This window comes from Homo sapiens, chromosome 11 (genome assembly GCF_000001405.40).
Source record: "Homo sapiens chromosome 11, GRCh38.p14 Primary Assembly".
Taxonomy (NCBI): domain Eukaryota; kingdom Metazoa; phylum Chordata; class Mammalia; order Primates; family Hominidae; genus Homo; species Homo sapiens.
Window position 1 is genome coordinate 41,388,802 of NC_000011.10, and position 24,868 is coordinate 41,413,669.

At 36.4% G+C, this 24,868-nt stretch overlaps 1 protein-coding gene across 17 annotated transcripts in view, besides 1 other annotated feature; it reads right to left on the reverse strand.

Moving 5' to 3' along the window:
- Positions 1–24,868, reverse strand: part of LRRC4C (leucine rich repeat containing 4C) — a 1,345,454-nt gene that overhangs the window by 1,274,603 nt on the left and 45,983 nt on the right. The window lies entirely within an intron of this gene.
- Positions 3,758–4,259: an enhancer, noted in NCBI's record as "NANOG hESC enhancer chr11:41414109-41414610 (GRCh37/hg19 assembly coordinates)". NCBI's record gives its function as "activates a minimal SCP1, AML or CMV promoter by ChIP-STARR-seq in primed H9 embryonic stem cells {active_cell/tissue: H9 hESC(primed)}" and the evidence as "EXISTENCE:reporter gene assay evidence [ECO:0000049][PMID:30033119]".

Consider the following 24,868-nt stretch of genomic DNA (forward strand, 5'->3'; position numbering starts at 1 on the left):
GAAAGTGGCCCTTAGTAGTTCCTTAAATACCAATAGGTATATCATAGTTCCTCAACCTGTCTTTGCATCCACAGTTGTAATATGTAAGGATTAATTTAACAAGAAATTTTGATGTTTAGACAGGTTTGGAAAGTTTAGATCTAAATATAAGGTTTTGCTTCTCTTTTCACAGGTAATTTGGACTCTAATGATGTCTACATAGCCAATCTACAGTCTGGCTAGGAAGGGATACGATGGCATGGTATTTTAAAAAGAAAAAAATAAAGTTATCTAAAAGATACACTACCATTAGCTGAGATGAGATAATTGAATTCTCTTTAATTTGTAAGCAGACTGGCTTACTCTACACCCACATACTCTCATTTAGCAAAAAGATAAAATATCTACACAGGACCTTGCAGCTTACAAAATACATCCATATACATGTAGGTCCCACAAAATGCTGTGGTGTAAGTACCCTTATGACCCTAATTGACAAATAAGAAAACCAAGGTTCCAAGAGTTAAAGGCTAGTATGTAGATATGCACCCAGAGTCCCTGATTCTGATTCTGAGACTGCATAATTTATATCATGGTTGTGTCATTAAAAAGAAGTGGAAGAATCTGGAACAAATAAAACACACAGCGACTAAGTTTCAATTAAATATAGGACATAGCAATACTGTGGTTGGAAAGGGTAGGCAAGAGATATCATGAGGTCACTGGGTGCTTGAGGGGAAAGCAAGGGTTAAAGAACAGTCTCTAACAAAAGGAAGAAATTGCACCAAAGATATACTTTCCTTATTTCTCAAGTTCAGCTGTAATCAACCAAGCCTAATCTAGGATAACAGTGAGCAGCAAAAAAAAAAAAAATCACAAAAGAAAATTCTTGAAAAGAGGTGCTTCTACTTGCATATAATTGCTTACACTGAAGTAATATCTGGACCAGACTGCTGGCCAGTGATCGGGCATGTGCCTGGGCAAACACATAACCAAGGCTCCGCTAATTAAAAGTCTGATTCCCCACACTTCTACAATTACCATTGAACGATGCTGTGAACATCTGAATTGTGCTAATCCTGGACATGAATATTTTATTCATTTGGACCATACCCCAAAATTAACATACTTAAGAAACTATAATATGCTGTATTATGTTAATGAGAGAAACATGTCCAAGGAAGAAATGGTGCTATGGTTACACAGGACATACTATTTACCAAGATAATGAGGAAATTTTCTCTTCTGTTTTTATCCTGTTCTGAGTATGTCTATCCAGAACTTGCATTTTAAAATATTAATATATGAATAAAACTGCATAAAACATTGTTGAAGTTAATTATTTTGTTTGCCGAGGATTTGAGGGATATAGAATAAATGTTCTGGTGGGTTGAGATAACCTGATCTGCTCTTATCTCCTACATATGCAAAGTGAGTGGTCTCTTTAAAACAAAACAAAATAGAACAAATAAAAAACAACACAGGGCACTAAGAGGGATAAATCATTTAGGAGAAACAATCAGTCTTCAGCTTTTGAATGGCTGGCTCAGGGTTTTGGTGACGTTTCCATTGTGCCAGTGTGCCAATGTGAGAAGAGAGGCACTGTCTTAAATCCTTTGTAACCGGCGACTACAGAATCTTGCATAATCTAGTACCCACCTGCCTGTCACTACCCTGCCCTTAGGATGATTTTCTGGATCACTTTGCCCCAGCCACATGGCTTTCTTAAGTTTCTTCAGCATTCCTAAACCCTTTGTGTTCTATGACCTTTCAGTTTGCTAATCCTTTACCTAGAATACATTTTTCCCTTTCTTCCTGTAGCAAACTTTTACTCATTCCTTAGGTGTCAAATTCATCATCATGTCCTTGAATGAACTTCATCTGATCATCTCCACTTTGAATTAGGGTAAGTCGCCTGTCTGCAATCCAGTGTTTGCATGCTTGCACTTCATAGCACTTTCTACCATCAAAATATATAATACTATGAGAAAATCTTTCTTTGATGTATGTGCTTGCCCTCTCCACTACACCATAGCTTCATGTGGGCAAGGACTAAGTTTGTCTTCATCACCCACTGTGTTCCTGGCAAAGTACCTGGCATATAGTAGCTACTCAAGAAATAATTATCAATGGAATGATTGAATGAATAAATATAGCTTTCTTTAACTAAAAGCAGTATACAGGGTTGAGGTTTGCTTTAATTAAAAAAAAAAAAAAAGTGTCCTGCCTTGGGCCATATAAGTAAGCATTTTGTGAAAGGGTAAAGGTAAAAAAAAAATCATTTGTTCTATAAACTTGTTCAAGGTGTTCAAGGGACTTGGAAAAGTTGTTAAATCAGTGACTCTTAAACTCTGGGGTTTGTGAGTATAGGTTATATTATAAATTTGGTTTAAGGTAACATTTCTCTCTGCCCTGCCTTCTTCTTCAGTGTTCTATACTCAGTAAGTCCAAAGTGAATGGAAATCTACACTAAATACACAACTCAAGAAGAAAAAAATAGAGCTAAAATATACAAATAGAAAATGAATCAGGGGTTACCACAAGTGGAGCAGGGGGGAGAAGAACTGGGGATATGTAGATCAAAGATGCAAAATAACAGTTATGTCAGATAAGCACATTTAGAAATCTAACATATAACATGAGGACAAAAGTTAATAAAATTGTATTTGGGAATACAGGAAAAAAAATGAAATGAGTAATTCTACAAATATGTATTGAGCATTCATGTGCCAGGCAGGGCATGAGGTAATGAAGGCATGAATGATGCCCACGTTTGAAAGCCACTGCAATAAATGATGACTTGATTATTTTCTACATCATTTCCAATGCTATAATTCTCACTTATTTCCACATTTGATAAGTATTTATTGATGACCCCCTAAAACCCAAGGTGCAAGATCAGTCTTACAACTGACAGACATTTCCTTTCCCTCAAGTTCCTATAATACCTCAGGAAATAAAAAGTAAACACATATTTAGATACTTATTGGCTATCTGCCAAACCCTCAGTATTGATAAATATTTTTACATTATCTCAAATGTGTCTATGAATAGGTCTCAAAAAATTAATAGAATATTATTTTAGTGCTTATAAATTTTTAAGCATTGTAATAAGTGTTTTACTTGATTATTTTATTTTATTATCATAGGAGAAGCAGGCATCACTGCTATTTAAAAGCAATTTGCTCAAAGTCACCTGGTTAGCAGGTAGAATAAAAGAGAAAACTATATGTATAAAAATAGCTTCAAATTAGGTAGTCAGAATTAAGTACTCACTGGAACTATAAAAAACAGAAGTAGGAGAAAACCGTTTACGAGGGGAAAATACAAAGGCATATGTAGGCACTATAACATGTTTGCTGTGGAATTCATGATAAGGCACTTTCATCTATGACCCGATTGATATTTCTTAGTAGAATGACTTGCAGTGAGACTTTAGCTACTGAAGTCTCTTTCCCACGTATGATGTAAGCCACGTGGTGAATTTTCTTGTCAAGATGTGTTCCTCTTTTTGCATCTTGAATGCCACTGTAGATTAACTGTTTTTGTACAAGTGTTTAACCTGGACTTATTCTCACAACCATTTAACAGAGCTGATCTTCCACTGGGCTCTGTATATTTCAATATATTAGCAGCTTTCCTCTGTAGAGGACAACCACTGGGAGAGAAGCCAAACAGTTACGTGTAATAAGCCTTCTTTGGTACTTACCGAATTTAGGATTTGTACTGGGTTGAATAGTGTTACCACCCCCATACCCACCACCTCCCCCAAACAAACAAACAAAAAAAAAAACATCGTTACCTAGAACTTAAGAATGTGGGTTTATTTGGGAATAATATCTTTGTAGATGTAAATAGTTAAGATGAAGTCATACTAAATTAAGGTGAGCCAGAAATTAAATGACTGATATCCTTATGAAAAGGTCATTTAAAGACACACACAGGGAAGAAAGACATGTGATAATGAGTGCAGAAATTGGAGTGATGTAGCTGTAAGCCAAGGAATCCCAAGAATTTCTGGGAACTGCTAGTGGCCCAGAGGAAGCAGGAAGGATTCTTCCCTGGAGTCTTCTGAGAGAGCAAAAGCAAGAACCTGCCAGTTTAAGACTTCTATGTACCCAAACTGTAGGAGAATAAATTTAGGGCAGTCCTAGGAGATAGGATTTTATCAGGAAAATCCTCTGGCATAAAGCATTATGACAATATACCTGTTTTATTGTTATGCTTTCCTAATTGCTCCCACAGCAGTTCTTCTGGTATGATTTTAAATAGGGGAGATATAATGATTGTAAAGTCACTTAAGTTAGTTTGCTAGGACATAAGCAAACTAACTTTGACATTTAGACATTTATAAAGAGGAACTGTAGAAACCTCCAAATGTTTTTCAGATATAATTTTCTATTAGCCAAATTTCTTATACATCAAAATTAATGTCGCTCATATTGTTTACGGGAACCATCTGGGAGAAGAGGCAAAAACTGTTGGCAAACTACATCTCCATAGATGCTGGGGTTGCTCAATGGATCTGTGACACCAAAAAGGCCTTTTTCCTTTGAGATTAGGAATAAAAGTGTGCTCTGAACATTGCTATGAATGAGCTTTGTGAAAGTATCTTAGGGAAGGTTCTCAAAGGTGGCTGACTTTGAAAACTGATCCATGTGCAATGTCTCAGTGAAGAAAGAAGTAAGTGAGAGGGGTAGGGGCAGGGGGGAGGAGGAGAGAGCAGCAATCACTCTTTCAGATCATGTTTCTTTCCAGAAACAGATCGCCACTGGTTCCAGGGTGAACATAATTTTGTAACCTGCAAAAATGCTACATTTAAAAGCATAAAAGCACTCAAGAAGAGTTTCATTACAGTTTCTGTATACCTTATGGGTTGTTATACTTTGTAGTTAGAGGCAATGAAACTTGAAGGGAAATATTGAGGACTTGCCAAAATCTGTGCAAATGAGTCTGTCACATTTATACTTTATGCTACAGTATCCTATCACATTTTGTATTCAGGAAATACTGGATCACATATTTGTAACAGCAACAGGGCATGCTTTCAATAGTATTAGTGCTGCTAGCATATGCAAGTGAATTCCATAACATCCATTTCCTTGCATATGTTTACTCCTCACCAACTAGTCTATATGTGTATTAATTAGGCTACCTTTAGCCCAGTGATAATTTTTTTTAAGTAGTTCTTGTAAGTCTAGATGTCAGCCAAAATCCCTCATTCACCTGCACCTTTTATCAAATATGCAAAGAGGCACTCTAGGGAGCCTTAAAAGCATAGACTCTGGAGTCAGTATGACCTACATTCAAAGTCTCTATCCTTCACTTTTTATGCATCTGACTGTGGAGGTTTGATGTCAAAGTCCTTGCTTCCTTATCTGTAAAATGGAGTTCATAATAGTGGCTATTGTGGATTAGAGTGAAGAGGCACTGATTTCACTTGACTTGTGTTTCCACAACGGAAAAGAAATTTGCAGTCCATTTCTAGGAGGGAAATCTACAAAATGGACTCTTCCAGCTTCTCTCTATACCTTCCTTCACTGCACTATTAGAAAGGAGGGGGACTTAATCTAATTTGCAAATTTGAAAGGAATAGAGTATGCGTCTCTCCTTTTTCAGATGCGCCTCCCTGCAGAGAGGGCTCTGGTTATGTAGTTATGCCAAGCAGTGGGTGACATACCTTTCTTTCTACTTCATATGGATTTCCAGAAAAGCCAGCCTGGCTACTGAGTGAAACTATGTTCTCCAATCAGCTCATCAGAAATAATGTGGTTACAAAGAAGGATGATTTGATCCTTGTGGTAAAAAACACCAACTTGAAAGATAGGTTGTGAAGACTGCAGATAATAAATGCAAAGTACTTAACAAGAGTGCTGGGTCCATGGTCAGCCATTGACTACTGGCTATTATTATGGTGATTTTCTTTCTTATTATATTACTACCATTGACATTGCTGCTGCCACTGAAGTTGTTTTGTTCTTTTTACTCTTTGATTGGCACCAGTCAAAGAGAACTGTGACTTCTCATTCACATAAATGTTTTGCACAAGAGGAAGGAAACATTCAAATGGTAAGTTTATATTTAGTCACTTAATAGAGAAAAGGGAAAGATAGAAAAATAAAAATGCTATCGTGGTATATGGCACCCAGTCAGCAAAGCCTTTTATACTCTAACTGACCTCTTCAGAGAGAATCCTTTCATTTCTGCTGAGAACAGGGGGCAGCTAGGCTTCAATAATGTCTGAAGGCAAGGGAGTACTGTTTGGCTCTACTAAACGTTCACATGTCCCATTAACCAGGAGACACAATCCTGGTTTAAATAGCATTTTTCTGATGAAGCAGGGTACAGACACTGGCAGAGTCTCAGAGTTAAAACAGTTAACGGAATGTCTTCGGATCAGCAGGAAAGAGCAGAGAAAAAATGAGCGCCTATTCTTGAGCACATGTGAACACCTCTTGTGTACACCAATAAAAGCTTCTTAGATTGAAGCAACTGCTTTGTCAGAAAGAGTTGTGTCCTAGCAAATTTGAGCAATAAGCTCTTAAAATGTAGGTAGAAATGCTGTATAACCTCATTTATACCCAGCAAATAATGAGGTCTGGAGACGTGTGGGTTATATAAGAATTAACATGCCAGCCAGCTATTAAATAGCAGCTGTGGCAACATAGATTATGATTGGACCATCACTATAATTTAGTCTCATTTTGTGCACCATAATTGAATAATCAAATAATAATACAAAAGAAATCATTAGTGTCTTAAATTACAGTCATACCAATACCAGTTCACTTTCTTCCAAATATAGGCCTTAAAAATATGGTTATTATTAACACCCATTTTACAAAGAGTAAAATATCAAGATCAAGGAATTGCAAGTAATTTCCCAATTTCATGTACAAAGTTGAAACAAGAATAAAATGAAACTCCTCTGACTACATAATTGGTCTCTTGATCCAACAAATCAAAATGTTTTCATCCTATTCCAATTTGTCCCTCCCAAAAGAGTCCATCTCTTCTTTCACTCCTCTTACCCTCCAACACAAAGACTCATTAAATACCAATCTTCTAACCAAAAAGTACTGCACTTTTTGTGAATCTCAGGGAACTAAAAGTAGTTTATTTTTATTTGTTTCTTTCCTTTTGGAAATAGTGAAGATCAAACTTGTCCAATCTGCCACCCATGGGCCACATGTGGCCCAGGACGGCTTTGAATGCGGCCCAACACAAGGTCATAAACATTCTTTAAAACATTCTGAGACTTTTTGCTATTTTTTTCGGCTCAACGGCTATTGTTAGTGTATTTTAAGAGTGGCCCAAGACAAATTCTTCTTCCAATGTGGCCCAGGGAAGCCAAAAGATTGGACCCCCCGTTGCAGATATTAGTTTATAATTAGAGTACAATCAAAGAGAGATATTGAAGAACAGAATAAGTTAACAAGCAAATCGAAAAAGTAGTAAAGAGAAAATGAGGAGTAAGGGTCTAAAAACAAGAAGTTGTGGTGCCACTTTCAAAAATAGGCATTGCTCAGGTTCTGTGTTAAATGTAGCAAAAAAATTAAGATAGGTATTGCAGTCTGACTAATTTTCAATGCTAAATTAAAGTGCAGAGTTTAGATTGTAATTTTGAGATTAGATGATTTCTGAGTCCTTGGCCTATATTTCATGTATTCTTTTTTTTCTTTTATAGTTATTGTCTTCACTTTCTGATCTCTGCAATATAATCAGACAGGTGTTCCTCAAATTCTCTTAATTTGCTTCACTTAAAATAATCACTAATAACAATGAGAAACATGTAGTGAATGCTCAACTTTATGATATGGGTAGTTTTTTAACTTTTATTTTAAATTCAGGGGTAAATGTGCAGGTTTGTTATACAGGTAAACCTGTGTCATGGAAGTTTGTTGTGCAGATTATTTTGTCACCCAAGTATTAAGACTAGTTCCTAAAATGACAAACACCCTGGAAGACAGCCTAAGCAATATCATTCAAGAAACAGGCACGGGCAAAGATTTCATGATGAAGACACCAAAAGCAATTGCAGCAAAATAAAAAACTGACAAATGGAACCTAATTAAACTTTAGAGCTTCTGCACAGCAAAAGAAACTATCAACAGAGTAAAGAGACAGCCTACAAAGTGAGAGAAAATTTTTGCAAACTATGAATGTGGATAGTTTTAAGTATTTCACATGCATTAGTGCATTCCATTCTCCCATCAACGCTATGAAGATGTAAATACGATTTTTTAAAGAACAAAGACACAGGGAGAGTAAATAAGTTATTGGGATCATAGAGACAAATAGTGAGGTCAGATGCAAACCCACGCTGTCTCATTCCAGAATCCAGAATCAACCATCATGCTAAGCTATTTTGAACCATAAAGCAGTTGACCCTCTAACAACACAGTTTGAACTGTGCAGGTCCACTTATACACAAAGTTTTTCAGTAAATGCTACACTGATATGCCTACCCCTCCTGCCTCCTCTTCCACCTCCTACACCTCTTTTGCCCTTGCCACCACTGAAACATCAAGGCCAACCTCTTCTCTTTCTCCTCCTCCTCAGCCTGCTCAATGAAAAGACAATAAGGATGAACACCTTTATGATGATCCACTTCCATTTAATAAACAGTAAATATATTTTATCTTCCTTATAATTTTCTAAATAGTATTTTTCCAGCTTACTTTATTATAAAGATATAGTATATAATACATATAACATGCAAAATATGTGTTAATCAACTGTTGGGTGTTATTGATAAGGTTTCTGGTCAGCACTAGGCAATTAGTAGTTACATTTTGGGGGAGTCAAAAGTTATATGTGGATTTTCAACTGTACAGGGGTCAGTGTCCTTTACCCCCAGGTTGTTCAAGGGTCAACAGTAAATGTGAACAAAAACTAAAAAAAAAAAAAGATATTTATCTAATTACTTAAATATTTATTTTGCAATAATCTCATATTTTGTGTTTTCTAGGGCTCTTATAAAACTAAGGCTAGCTTTTAATAATTTGAATACACCTTATCTCTAGAGAGGTAGTGATATGTTCATGGCAAGGTAGAGATCCAAACCAGTAGAGAAGATAGAAAATTATTATTATATATTTTCCATGTAGTATTACCTTATAGCTAATTCTCTCTTCAGTCTCAGTTTTCAGTTATTTATAAGGCTTAGAAATAAATCCTGATCTCAGCCCTGTCCACTTGTTTCATCAGCCTAATGCCTCCATGCCTCATCTTTCATACTTCATAACCATATTACGTTTAATGGGGATGCACTTGTGACACTTGGAGCTGAATTATTCTTCAATGTGTAGAATTGCCTTATATAATACAAGACCTTGGGAATTACTGGATGATGGCACAAAATACTAAATAAAAACAACAAATGCCCCACTTTCCCTCTTTTCTACTGCCTCAGGGGTCACATTTCACTTTCTTAGGAAGTCTTGGCCCAGATTCTCAAAGCCACCCAAACAGCATTTTGCACACTTTTTTTAAGTTTTATTTTCTCCCATTGCTCTACCTTGCAGGGTGTGAATGTAGTACGTACCACCTACAAATATGTGACTAATGCAGAAATCCCATTACGTACTCTCTCTAGTCTACATGTTTACTAAGCTCTTCAGATACGATTCTTGAAACTTCCTTTCAGTTAATTTACTTAGCAGATTCTTTTTAAAGATGGAAATCCCTGAATGCACTGTAACATTTTATTGCTGTCCTAGTAGACATTCCATTCACTCCTAGAAATGCAAACAGGAATGGTTTCCCCTTTTGAAGAAGGAAGAGGGATCACTGAATGTTACCTTGTGCTAGCCACTTTATGTAAGACAGCTTCCTAGTTTGATCTTGATTTCAATTCTTCCTTGTTGCTATTATTATGCCCACTCTGAAGACACAAAAACTGAGACTTAAAGTATTAAGTAAATTGCTAATAATATTGACAAAGATGATAACTATATTTATAATAATAATAACAGCAACACACAGGCCTAATTCTACCATGGTAAAGCCTAACTTATCAAGCTGTAAATTATTAAATTTCTAAGTTTGATGTTTAAGATATCATGATAGCTCTATAGGGAAGTTGTGTAGAAGGACCTTATTGGCCTCTCTCCCAAGCAGAATCCACTGCCACTTTGTCTATTTACCTTGTAAGGCTTAATGACTACCATCAAACATATTCCTGTCCAGTTGAAAACAGATGTACAAAATCTCTGGATTAAGGCTACTTTCCTAGAAAATAAGATTTACAATACACAATATAGACCATTCTAGAAAGAACTGACCAAAGCATCTGAAATTTGCAAATTAAACTGCCATCACTAGTTTTGTGTCCATATGAGATTGCACCTCAGTCTCTTTGTCTATATAACAGAAAACCTGGATCAGTGAGTGCTAATATTCTTCATGGAGTTGATTTAAGGTTTAATGACACTTGAAAAAGTCCATATTTAAATATTGCCTTGATTTTGTCCCCTGTTCCCATAAAATGCTGCTGAACATATCTTGAACACAGCAGAGGGGTGAAAACGCAACTTTTTGTTAGAAGTATGTTCATTTTCTTGGGACTGACTGGTGAGGAAAGAAGGTTTGCAAGGCCAAGTGTCGGGAGAACAACATATTGTATGTGGGAGGGTGCATTGCAATGAGTGCATGAAATTACAGTACAAAGGATCAAAGAGAAAAATTGCCTTTAGAATGACAGGCTTTCCTTCACGGAGAAGAAAAACCAAATAATTTATGCCTCAGAGGTACTGTAGGGCTCATATTTTAGCCTGCAGAATTCCTCAGCATTGCTGTAACTGAGCCTCTTGCAGGGAGAAACTATTAATCCTTTGCATGCTTTGCCATTAATATTGTTTATTGGGCCACAAGAAGAGAACATAAAACTTTAATGTCAGTTTTTCACACTAAGGATTTTTTTTCCTTAAAAATCCAATGGTATCTGCCAATTTGATGTGGCACTTTAAGGAGATTAGAGAAGCAGATGGCTGATTCTTAATGACTAATTTTTTGCATCAACTAAAGATTTGTTATTTGATGCAAACTGCTCAGAATAACCATGTTCCTTTTTAATGAAGTTGGACTGTGCTACTGAAAGGGAAAAGCGAGAGTTTATACTGACAAATAAGAAAAATTAGATTCAGAAGGTTCTGGAAGGATAACAGAGCACCAGGACATGTAAGCTAACCCAAAAGTAAAATTCTGAAGGCAACAGAGCCAGTGAAGAAGAACTCAGTGCTTGTTACACAGTGAATGTCAATTTTGAGGAAAGTCTCATGCAAGAATTACACAAAACCTATAGATTAAGAGATGAGGCTCTCAGGAAACATCTAATCTAAGTCAGACCCTAGTTCAAATCTTTGGACAGCTGTTTATATTCTGGACAATTTGAGACTGTTAGTCAGACATTAGTTTTAGTAAGAGTAAAAATGTGCATAGGAATAACTCCTGTGAGAAACTGTTATAAATGTTAAAGTTAAAAGTGCATATAACGTGTTGAGCTCAGTGCCTGACATTTAGTAAACACTCATTTGTCAAGTGTCTTATAAGTACTCACAAGTACTTATTTTTCTCCTTAGCTGTTTCTTTTCTCCTACCCCGTGATAAATCTAAGCGATTTCCACTCCCCTTGTTAGTTTCTGTCCAACCAATAACACAATTTTTAGAACAATTCATTTTGGTCATCTTCCTGTGTCCCTGCTTCCAGTTCCAGACATGGGAACGCTGGGAATTCTACAACTATCATGGGGAGAAGAAGACTTCAGGGAAACATTAATGGAAGGAGAAGAAATAGGAGATATTTTTTTAATGCTGCTAATGGGATCAAAATGCCAATGTACAAAATCTCTGGATTAAGGCTACTTTCCTAGAAAATAAGATTCACAATACACAACATAGAACATTCTAGAAAGAACTGACCAAAGCATCTGAAATTTGCAAATGAAACTGCCATCACTAGTTTTGTGTCCATATGAGATTAGACCTCAGTCTTCTTGTTTATAAAACAGAAAACGTGCATCAGTGAGTGCTAATATTCTTACTAGAGTTTATTTAAGGTTTAATGACACTTGAAAAAGTCCATATTTAAATATTGCCTTGATTTTGTCCCCTGTTCCCATAAAATGCTGCTGAACATATCTTGAACACAGCAGAGGGATGAAAATGCAACTTTTTTTTTATGCTGACACTGTCACTCATAAGCAATGCAGGAAAATGCTTGAGACTACTGAGCACTATTTTGGCAGACACCCAAGAAATATGCCAAATATTGTAATATGATAAAGAGAAGACTGTATGTTGAAGATATGTTTTAGAAGGAAATGGAATTCAGTGTATTTTTTAGGGACAATCTAGGACAGCAGAAGAGGAAATTTTGTATAAGGATGTACTGTACTATTTACTAAAGTAACTGAGAGCTACACATGGCTTTCTACATTTGAATTAAAATGAAAAGTAAACAACAATTAAAATTCAGTTCCTTATTCACACTAGTCACATTTCAAGTGCTCATTAGTCAAAAATAGCTGGTGGTTACCATAGATTACAGACTATAACCATTACGGCAGAAAGTTCTATTGGATGGTTGTTTTGAGAGGAAAAAAATAAGAAATTTTCTTCTTGTTTTCCATTTATCTAGTGATTATCTGGTGCATTTACTCTTCTGAATGTTAAGTTTACAAGCATAACTAAAGCAAGGTCCTGGCTCTCATAGTGTCTCCAGTCTAGTTGGGAAAATAGGCAAAAATAAGCAAAAAGTAGCAATGCAATAGGCCAGTCATGGGGCGGACAAAGGATTTAACTGGCAAAGGACAATGGAAACAGTAAGAGTGGAGTAATAAATAATGTTTAACCGGGAAGAGACCTGATTTTGAAAGACTGGAACAACTTACTAGCTGTGAAATTTTGGACAGCTTTTTCTGGACCATAGTTTATTCGTTCACTTGTTTACTAATTTTTTTACTTCTTTCTTGCCTTGGGTTTTCAAAGAATATTTCTTGAGTGTCTATCATGTGAGTTATGCATGGTTGAGAATGTTTAGAGCCATTGTAGGTCTTGTTAAAATGGAACCCATTTGATCCCTCTCATTTTTCTCTAAAGGAATGCCATTGCATTCTCTAATTCATTTCTTGTTGATTACATCCTAAGAGACTTTCCCCTTGCTGTCAGAACTGCCTCATTTATTCATTCACCTAATCACTCAGCAGACATTATTGAACACTTACAATGGAATAGGTACCACATTAAAGACATATACATAAAAATGTCTTGTCCTTTGTCCTGAAAAGTCTAGTGGGATAGAGAGAGATAAAAAATACTACAATACAGTCTGATGAAGGTGTGGACAACAGGGTCCATGGGATAAAATAGAAAGGGGACAGAACAAACACTCAAAGAAGAGAGTTCATCTCATTATTTATCCATGGAATGATGCATTTAATTGATGAGCTGTCTTCAAACAATGATGAAAGCCTTGCACACAATATAAGACCATGCTTAGTTATAATCCATCAAATAGTAACCAATCCTTCACCAACTAATGGGAAGTCTTTAGAAAAATAAAATGAGAATACAGAGTATTACACATTAAAGGTTTCTACTGGTATGGTTAATCAGAATCCACTTAAACCACCCTATCTACAGGTCAGTGCTTATGTCCATTGATAAAAGTATTCCTTTCAGCAGACATTTACTGAAGAGCTACTCAGTGCCAGTATTGTGTCAGGGCTCTGAGAAATGTGGAAGACATGCTGATTGCTTTCAGTAAACATCTAATCTAAGTAAATACATTTTATTATGTAAAAAATATATTTGCGTCTAAAGAGTTAACTGTCAATGTATTTTAAGAAACCAAAGAAGAGAAATCAGTATGCTTCCTATAGCAGAATTTCTAATGGGATATTATAATAATATTTAGAAAGGAAAAAATGAAGAAGAACTCCAGACAGAGTAAATACCAAGAAACAGGGCTCAAGAGAAAAACACAGAATCTGGCTGATAGTTCATTGGTCAGGTACCATGAGCCTGATACTGAACTATATACCTTAAGCATAATTATTTATTTCATTTTTCACAATAACAATATTATGTATTATTACAGCATTTTAAATATGAATAATCGAGAGCTGAAATAATTTAAAATATGCAATTTACCTAAAACCACAAAGCTAATACATGTTCACGCCGTAAATCAAACTCAAAACTTTGTAATAAAAATGTCTTTTGCCCCTTAGTGTTCAACAGCAAAGAACAGTATTTTTTTCTTTGCTGAAGTATAGACAGCTTAGCTGGTCATCTGAACAAGAGTGCTGAAAACTATGGTGAGGAGGTTCACTTAAGCCAGATAATTGAGGATTTTGAAGGCTAGACTACAAAGGTGTGTTCTATGTAAATATTCTCCCTGAAAAAGTCATTTCAAAAAGTTAAACACATGGAAAATTATTTAAGTATATCAGCCATGTTTCACAAGCTAAACTCAAGATATCTAGAATATTAAAACACTGCACCTCAGCTAGTACTTTCCAATTGTCTGAACTTGTAACAAAAGCCTACAGAGGTAGATAAAGGTAGAAACAGAAAAACCAGCTGTGAAATTCAGATACCTACAGGTCTGTATATATAGACATATATGTTTATTTTTAAGTAGAAATTCCACATTCTATAGCCACACAAAATTCACATGCTTAAATCACAGGACAAAGAACCCCATGTTAGGAAATTCAGGTGTCCTTTATGGCAGCAAGAGTGCCACAAGGGGTCCCAACAAAAGGAAATAAATGTATGATAACTATGCAAGCTGTTGTGCCAGGCAATGACAAACAACTGATTAAGAGCAAATTGGCCAACAAATTTGGGTTGCCGACAAAAACTTGGCTCTTCCCTGAGGGTGCTGTTGCCAGGACATATTATTGTATTTCTACAACATGGAAATTAACACATAACACGAGGGCTGATTTTTGTCTTCTCTCCTCCTCCCCCTCCTTTGGGAACAGTGTCACTATCACTCACTGTTGATTACATTTTTACCCTCTTCATCATGTGCTCAGTTCACATTCAATAGAGACTTTCAAGAAATTAGAAGCATTCCTGTTCTGTTCCTACAGTGGAACTTGTTATTTAAAAAGGGCAAAAAACGTGCACTTATACACACACCTGTGAGCATGGGAACACACACACCATAGACACATACACAATGGCAATGACCTTGCAGTAGAAATAATAGATTCCTGATACAGACTGATAATAAAAAATAAAACACAGTTGAGAAGTAAATTATGAGAGGTATCAGAAGACATGTTTTGGTGATGCCAACAGTGGTACAACCATTTATTTCAGTATGTGACAATGAGAAAGTTAAAAGAAATGCACCCATGTCATTCATCTTGGATGCTTGTTTGATTAATGCCAAGATTTTTTCTTTCTCTGGCATCCCATAATCTGCCCTTTCTGCCAATATTCCCAAGTTTCCCCAAGCAAAGAGCTGAAGCCTAAGGCAAGAGCTTCTGATTAATTTTTCTAAATGGAGTAGGTTTATAAAAGTCATGTTTGCTTTCTAGTAAATGGTTAACGAAACCATGTAGCTTTCAGATGGGACTAATTTTTCAATTAGTGGAGATGGCCCAGGTATTTTCAGAACTGGTCTGGGCAGCATCAGGGATGTCTCTGATCTCCGACAACCCCAGGGCTATGTGTGTGTGTGTCTGTGTGTGTGTGTGTATACACACAGACACACACACAGACACAAAGACACACAGACACACACACACACACACACACACACACCCCCCGAGGTTATATAGTAAATCCATTTCTTGTTATGACGATGTGTTTGGAACTAAATCAAGACCCGCATCACCAGAGTGACAAGGGTATAGTTTTGAACAGTAATGATGACAGCTATTTTCTCAGTCCAGACATCACCTGGAGAGCTGTGCCAGGGAGAAAAAATACAGGTACTTTTCACATTAAGTTAGTCATAGGATATTTCAGACCATCAATTAGAAGCAAAAACATTACAATTAATGTGACATGTAAGTAAGTGGCCATGATTTTAAAAAGCAAATATAGAACTGGTAGTTTCACTGTTATATGAAATATGAGGAGGACATTCTTATTGCCACTGGTAAACAACCATTCAGATAATATGGAAAACATACTATATTTCTTTACTCAGAATAGGCTTAGAACATGCCACAATTTTAGTATGCGATATTTAAATCTTCAGTGTCTTAATATCTCTATCAATAATGTGGGTCCAGCACTATTTGCTTTATTGTTACCTAAAATGTTGATAAATAAATGAAAAAAATCATATGATTAGAGCTTTTTGGAAGTTCATATGATGCTTTCAAACAAAATAAACTGATAATAGAATAAACATACAGTAACTGTTTTCAAATCTCCAAACCAAGAAGGTGACATTTAAAATATTTTATCACTGCTCTTGTAAGTCTTGATAAAAACTCCAGAATATACATTTCATACACATGGTATATTTACAAAATAATGATAATAAAGCACATAAGCAACTAAAATAAGTATTCCCATCCAATTTTCTTGCTTAAACCCTTTCCAGAAAGTTTCTTCCCTGTGTCATAGCAGGAAAAAGCAAAGAATTTAAAATAAAAGGTACAAAAGTATAAATAGATAATTAATATTCAATCTCTCCAGGTTACTAAATCAATTTCTTTAGGCTCTGATAGGCTGTTGGAAAAATAAGAACAAACAAGAACCATATGCAAACCAGGTGCCATCTGAATTACTTACATGGTTGATAGTAAAGGAGAAGAAACTAAAGGATATAAAGAGTAGTTTACTTTCTTCTGATCAAAAACATTCCCCTACAGGGGTGCTTTATAGCTTCATTACATGCCCTGACTTTGATATATTTTAAATCATCATCAAGGACAGGAACAAGAAAAAGGAAGAATCTATCATTTTGGATCAAATAAATTCAATTCTTTTAGGGGCAGGGGATGGGGAAGAGTTAGGATGCTTTAAGTTATTGTATTCATTTAGTTAATATTTATTTAACACCTACTATGTTTCAACCTCTGCAAGGTACTAAGTATATAAAAAATGTATCTTTTTGTCTGTCCTAAATGAGCTCACAGCCTAGTGAAAGATAAAAAATATAAAAGAAAAACTAAGGATACATGCTCTAAGCACTGTTTTAAAGATACAAAGATACTGCATCTCATTCACAGGACAGCTGTCTCCCTAGAAGGGAAATTTAAGCTTCATTTTGGCAGCTTTTACATAATTTGATGTAGTGAAGTTGCAAATGGTATAGAGGGGAGTAAAAAGGATGAAAGAGACAGAGAGACAGACTTATGAGGTAAGATTAAAGAAGCTACATAAGTATGACTTACCTATGTGAGGATATCCTGATAAATGTACACATATTTTGAAGATGCAAATACCAAAGGAATAATGTTGGAGAAATAAGCAGATTTTTAAAAGGTAAAATTTTTGCTATAAAGAAGAAAAAGCTGAGATGACAGTTATGAACTATATATGAACTATCACATGAAGAAGTTGATTTTCTGGAAATCATAGAATTCCATCTTTTGAGACATTTGATTTAGACCTTTTTCTCTCTTGGCTTGCTTGACTTTAGGAAATATATACAAAGTTGATTTTCAATTAAGATTCTTCATCATTGCGTGGGTATCTTCTTTATGCTAAGTACTATGACAAGTGTTAAAGAGGAATAAGATAGGGGTCTCTGTACTTACGCAATGTACAATCTGAAGAATTTCCACCTCCTTCTCATCACTCTGCACAGTACATATGATCCACCTCTTACTGATGCTTCTCTCAGGCTTGAAGAGTCCAGCCATCTCATATTACTAGGTTTTGCTAGGACCTAATCTAGCATGCTTTCCATCAAAGTATTCCTCTTTCCTCTCCCCTACACATTCACCACACACACACACACACACACACACACACACACACACACACACACGCACCCTTAATAAAAGAAAGTAACTTAGGCACTTAGTGTAGTAGTATCTAAAAGTAAGGGTATTTAACACAACGTCCTTGATTATTTTCATAAAAATTAAAGCTGGCAAATCTGATAAAAACCATCTGATTAATCTATACTCTGTTTTGAGTGATTGGTAACTTCAAATGTTAGTTTTTTGGTGGCATGTAAAAAAAATTGTAAAAAGAAAATATTGTTTATAAAAGGGAAAAAATCTTGTAATTACAGTGTGGTAAAGGTATTTTTAGATATCAGTGTTTTTCTAATATACATTGTCAATCAATCAGTAATTATTAAAGATATGTGTGTTTGCTTGCATATATGTGAATGGGTCTCTGAATTTGAAAGGTCTTTCAGTGTCTATGGACCACGAAAAAACTGGAAGAGCTAGGTACTCTTATTGCTATTTGACTAACAAGGAAACTGAAGCTCAGAGAATACTAGCAACTTGTTTTAAAGGTCACTCTGCATTTATGTGGTAGAGTCAGGATTTAAATCCAGGTCTGTTTGATTAACATTGAATTTTTCCTTTTTTTTTTTTTTTTTTGAGACAGGGTCTCACTATGTAGCCCAGGCTGGAGTGCAGTGTCATGATTACAGCTCTTGGCAACCTAGATCTCCCAGGCTTGAGCAATCCTCCCATTTCAGCTACCCAAATAGCTGGGACTACAGGCATGTGCCACCACATTCGACTGAATTTTAAACTTTTTGTAGAGATAGGGTCTCACAATGTTGCCTAGGCTGATCTTGAGCTCCTGGCCTCAAGCAAGCCTCCCACCTTGGCCTCCTAAAGTGCTGGGATTACAGTCATGAGCCACTGTTCTCGGCCCAAAGTTACTTTTTAAAAATTACAAAATACACCAAACATATAGAAAACACAGGAAATATAACACACTTGTGTACCTTTTATAAACCATGTTGCTCAGGAGCTGTCCCTGTGGTGAGATTGTAGCTAATATCGAGAATCTATAGTGTCTTGGTACGATTCTTATTTCAAATATTCTGTTTACTTGGCAGAGCACATGTCTCAAAGGTAGGTGTAAGAAAGATGGTGTCACCACACTCTGGTCCAGTAGAGATATATGGCATCAAGTGAAACTTTTAAGCATTCAAAACACATTTTCTCTGGAAGCAACATAGCAGCTGTGGAAAGCTTCTCAGAGACAGCTTGCCTTGCCCTGGAGGTGCCTGTGAGGGTAGTCCAGATTGGGAAAGAGAAGCTAATATAGACCCTGTACCCTTAGGAGCCAGGCTGTATGTTAGGCCATACACTTGTCATTTAATCCCCTAACCAGTATTATTGTTGGCATTATTAGTCTCAATTTACAATTGAAAAGCAGAAGGTCAGAGAGGTTACAAGATGTGTACAGGGTGAAACAGGTAATAGCAAGCAAAGCTAAAATTCCAAGCCGGTTGTATTTAATTGTAAAATTCATAGTATTTGTTATTACATGTAGTCAGGATTAGAATAATGAGAGGATTGTACTTAACAGACTTTCAGGCAAATTACACTGGGTTAAAAAGATTACAAACTAACGAATATTAATTGTTTATCCACTTAAAACTGGGACCATTTTTGTGCACCTTGAAGAAGTATGTTAGAATTCATCCATTGATTCACTTGTCCATACTCTATAGGACTCCCCATTAGCCCCACTTGGAAAATTGGTAAATGTATTAAAAGGATGGCATATTTGGATCAAGTGATTGGTTATGCTCATCTATCCCACCTGTACCTTAGGCTCTGATTAGGACTTAGAATACTGTACCAATGTTTGAGAGTTAAGTATCTGCCAGGATACCTAACCCTCTTTCATAGGACACAGCCAATTTATGATGTTAAAAATAAAAGCAATAATGATTGCTTTTACAATGATGATTGTATTAATTCTATGTTTATGGGTCAAAAATTTTACTCGCTGCTTTAGATTATTTTAGTTCCCAAAACAATTCTATGAGAAAGGTATATTTTTGTAAAAAAAAAAAAAAAAAAAACTGAGTCTCTCAAAAATTAAATGGCTTGGCTTTTCATAGAGTTATTATGGAAGTGAAAGAGCCAAGATTCCACCACACGGCTGTCTGCCAGCAGAGACCTTTACTATTCACTATGGTGAAGTTTTCTTCTGTAGCCTGGCTGCCTTATGATCACAGGCGACTTCATTATAACTAAAGGCAACGCAGCTTTCTGTCGGGCAACCTGAAGAACAGCAGGGCGAATGCCTCTTTCAGGTTTCCGGGTCACTGTGTGCAGGGTCACACTGTGTGTAGGGTCACAGAGTGACCCTGAAACTACACACATGGCCATGGTTACCCTCTTGGCCTCTCTTTGGGTGAGATCCCTGTTCCTTCCTTTGCACTTGTTCATTTTCTAGAAGATATTCAGGGGCAACCTCTTGGAACTGCAGAATATACACCACTTTTCCAATTAACACAACTGCTAGATCATTACATTTTTTCTCTAAAGTCAGCAAAATGTCTCTGATACCAATTAAAGTATGGCTTACACTCGTCCATAACTGCAAAGAAAAATAATCGTGACCAAGGAATAAACTATTCAACTCTTGAAAAAGTACTTTTTCTAACTGAAGGGAGGATGACTTGGAATAAATGATAAAGAAAAATAGAAAGTGTGTTAAGTTGCTTACTTTCTGACAGGCAAAATGCCAAGAATTTTGCTCGCATTATTTTATTTAATCCTCATGAAATTGTCTTTTTTAATCCTTAAAACAACATTATGAGAATTTACTATTGGGTTCCCTATTTTACAACTGATGAAACAGAGACATAGACATGTTAATTCCCAAGGTTAAAAAGTGGCAACAGGTCTATCTAATTTCAGGGTCTACATTTTAACCACTGGGCTTTAATGGGAGTAAGAATAGGATGCTAAAGGTGAGGGGGTCTATACCAAGAAAAAGAAGCACTCCATAACTATAGCAAGAAAGATAAAAAGCAATTCAAGATTGCTCTAATTTTCTTATGGTCTGTATAATATACCTGTCAATGAAAGCTGATTTTGGTAGATATGACTGACCCGTTTATAATCCAAAAAATTGCGAAAAAAAATGAACTGAATATTTGTATAGATAATGACTGCCACACCAAGTCATATGGCTACTTTTGTGTGTTTTTTAGCCATTAATATTAATGTTTTTTTATTTCCATCATCCTAATGAGAGAAATATGTGCATTTGTACCGTGTAAGAAAATAGTCTCAATAATCTGCTCAGAAGATGCATGTATATTTTTGCCCAATAGTGTTTTAAAGTTTGAAAACTGAAATCCTTTCACAAGGGGCCTATGTAGGCCCCAGGCCTCATCCCATCCACTGTGTTGCATAGCCCTGCTTTATTTATTCTGCACCGGCTTGGACCCAGTAGACAGTCGGGCTGGAGATGCCAGATCCAGTCTAGGGTGAGCTCTTACTGATTATAACAATACTGTTATTGATGAAGCAGAATTCTTGTTCAGATCACAGGGTAGATAACTTCATGGCCTTCAGCAGCTCATCACATTTCTTCTGAAATCATTTTGGCACCTAGTTTTCCTTATCAACGAAATGAGTAGAAGTATGTTTCTCTTAATCCCTTTCAAAAGATTCCAAAGAATGTTTTTTTCTTAGTGAGAAAGTTTTTTTTTTTTTCTTTTTTTTTTTTCGAGACGTTGTTTCGCTCTGTCACCCAGGCTGGAGTGCAGTGGCGCTATCTCCGCTCCCGGGTTTACGCCATTCGGATCTCAGCTCACTGCAAGCTCCACCTTCTGGGTTCACGCCATTCTCCTGCCTCAGCCTCCCGAGTAGCTGGGACTACAGGCGCCCGCCATCACGCCCAGCTAATTTTTTGTATTTTTAGTAGAGACGGTGTTTCACCGTGTTAGCCAGGATGGTCTCCATCTCCTGACCTCGTGATCCACCCGCTTCGGCCTCCCAAAATGATGGGATTATAGGCATGAGCCACCGCGCCTGGCCGAGAAAGTTATTTTTATGGAACAACACCCGTTAATCAATGCTAAATGATTAATAGAATTAGAATATCATCACATTATCAACCTCAAAATAAATAAAGGATCCAGACAATAATCCTTTATTAGACAATAATCACCTAAAATCCATTAGGTGAATTGCTGATGGGACCTTTTTAAAGAGGGACCTGCCTGAGAGCCATCTAAATCAATTGATAAATCTTAGCATCATCAAAGGAGAGACATAATGTGAGGATCCTGTAGGATCCCATCATGAATCCTATAGGAGGCAGAGATCACCAATTGTCAGCCACCTGTGTCAAAAGACCAGAGATCTTTATCTAGATGGTTTCCGCATTGGAAGGTTTATGCACTTGCTTTTAGATGAGAAACACTTGGTTGGTACCCTATTTTTTTTTTTTTTTTTTTTTTTTGAGATGGAGTCTTGCTCTGTCGCCCAGGCTGGAGTGCAGTGGCGCCATCTCGGCTCATTGCAAGCTCTGCCTCCCAGGTTCATGCCATTCTCCTGCCTCAGCCTCCCGAGCAGCTGGGACTACAGGTGCCCACCACCACGCCCAGCTAATTTTTTGTATTTTTAGTGGAGACGGGGTTTCACCGTGTTAGCCAGGATGGTCTTGATCTCCTGACCTTGTGATCCGCCCACCTCCGCCTCCCAAAGTGCTGGGATTACAGGCTTGAGCCACCGCGCCCAGCCTTGGTTGGTACCCTATTGGATAAAGTAGGTAAGAGACAAAACCAATGGAGATCAACTTGGAAAATAGAACATAACTTTAGGAATAAAAAAGAGAAAAATTGTACTTCAGATAAATCCATGTGAAAACAAGATTCTATTCTGAAACCTCATTTACATAAAACTTTTCAATGAAATACAGCAGGTCCTCAAATAACATTGTTTTTCTCAACATCCTTTCTTTATAAAGTTGATAAGAAAAAGAATTGATTGCAGGCCAGGGCCACTGTCTGTGTGAAGTTTGCACGTTCTCCTGCTGTCTGCATGGGTTTTCTCCCAGAACTTCTGTTTCCTCCCACATCCCAAAGAGATGCGTGTTAGGTAAATTTGTGGGTCTAAATTGCCCCAGATTCTGTAAGTGTGGGTGTATGTGGGTGCACCTTGTGATGCAATGGAGTCCTGCCCAGGGTCAGTACCAGCCTTGTGTTGTGAACTGCCAGGACAGGCTCCAGCCACCCAAGACACTGAACTGGAATTAACAAGTTGGAAAATAAGTGTACAAATACAAATATTTGTAAAAATAAAAATTGGCAAATTAGATGATAATCATACAGGTACATGACAGTAATGGATACGTGTGGCATGATAGCGCTCAAGGAGCCTGCCATATTTGTGACAGCTTGTTTTTGAACTGCTTGGTAGTAGGAGGTGCTCCTTACAATTTTCACTTTGTAAACATTTATTTCTTGATTTAACCCACCAGCACTATGACCCCCGTCACTCACTGATTCATCAAAAAACTGGGCAAATAATTACCTTACTTGTTTTTATGAATCTTTCCTAAATGTATGTAACAATCACATTTATTTTAATGCTTAATAAAAATATGTTTGGGGTCTTTAGAGATTAGGTGATGTTTTTATGAGCAGAAATATGCCATAGAAACTTAACTTTTATCAATTAACTTATGGTACAATTAATCTCATTAAACATCGTTTTACTTGAAGTTTCCATGAACCTATTGACAATGTTAAGTGAAGATATACTCTACTATATATTAGTACACTATTTTATTAGAATTATTTGCTGCCCTGAAATGGAGGGTGATTAAGACCAGTTAAATAAAAGTATCACATCTTTCGTCTGTTCATTAATCTGTTAATTGCACTTTGCAACTTGCCTACAAATCAACAAAAGGCATGTGACCCACTTACCTGTATCATTAAACAACCCAAGCTACAAAATTCTCCTGAGCCAGGACTTGAGACAGGGTAATATGGGGCTATTTAGTTTTTAGAACTCAGTCTGTGTACTAGGAGCCCTTAACTTCCATGATGATACAAAATACAGCAGAAACTCAGACAGAGAGAGACTGGAAATGAGAATGTGGTTCAGGCCACTAATTCTCAAAAAGGAATGAACTCTCAAAGAGACATGAGATTCTGCTCAGATCTGCACAATCTGCCCCTAACAGCCTTTTCCTCCCTTCATTCCAGCCCCTCTCTCATTTGTTAATTTTGTCCTTCAAATGTTGCTGTTGCTCTATTTCTATCCTAATTTTCTTTTCTTTTTCAAATTTATTGTTCTGATTGGCATGTTTATTTTTCTTACTTTTTTTTCTTTTCTTCTTTTTTTTCTTTTTTACTTCCATTGCTGTTGAGCTTTAACAAATTGATTAGAGCAGGAAAGTTACAGAATGTAGAGAATGAGGATGGTTTGATTTACTAGAGAACCCCGAATTATGAAGTACAACTGTTCATACAAGGAATGGAAAAAGTCTCAACATTCTCAAAAGATTTTTTCTTCCACAAAGAATGGATTCTGCAAAGATTCCATTTTAGGCTTAGATTCAATTATCCTTCCACTCACTGAAACCACCATGTGGTTTTACTTTTTTGTAAAGTAGGGTTAATGGTAATACCAATTATGGGAGTTGGTCTAAGGATTAGTTAATTAATGAAAAGTGGTTGGAATGAAAAGTGGTTGGAATGACACATGATAAACACTTGTTCAAAGTTAGCTATTGTTGTTGTGATTAAAATTATCATTATTGCAAAAGACAATACCAAGAAAACAATATGACCATACATAACTCTCTGACATTAACCTCAGAAGAATCTGAGTTTAGAAATGTTTGGCAATTTAATCAATAAGCCAGATAACTTGTCCATCCATGTTTCAGCCATTGAGTCCTTCTTGGAAAGCTTGGTGTATTGTCTAGCTGGAAATGTGACCCTTTGGTTTTC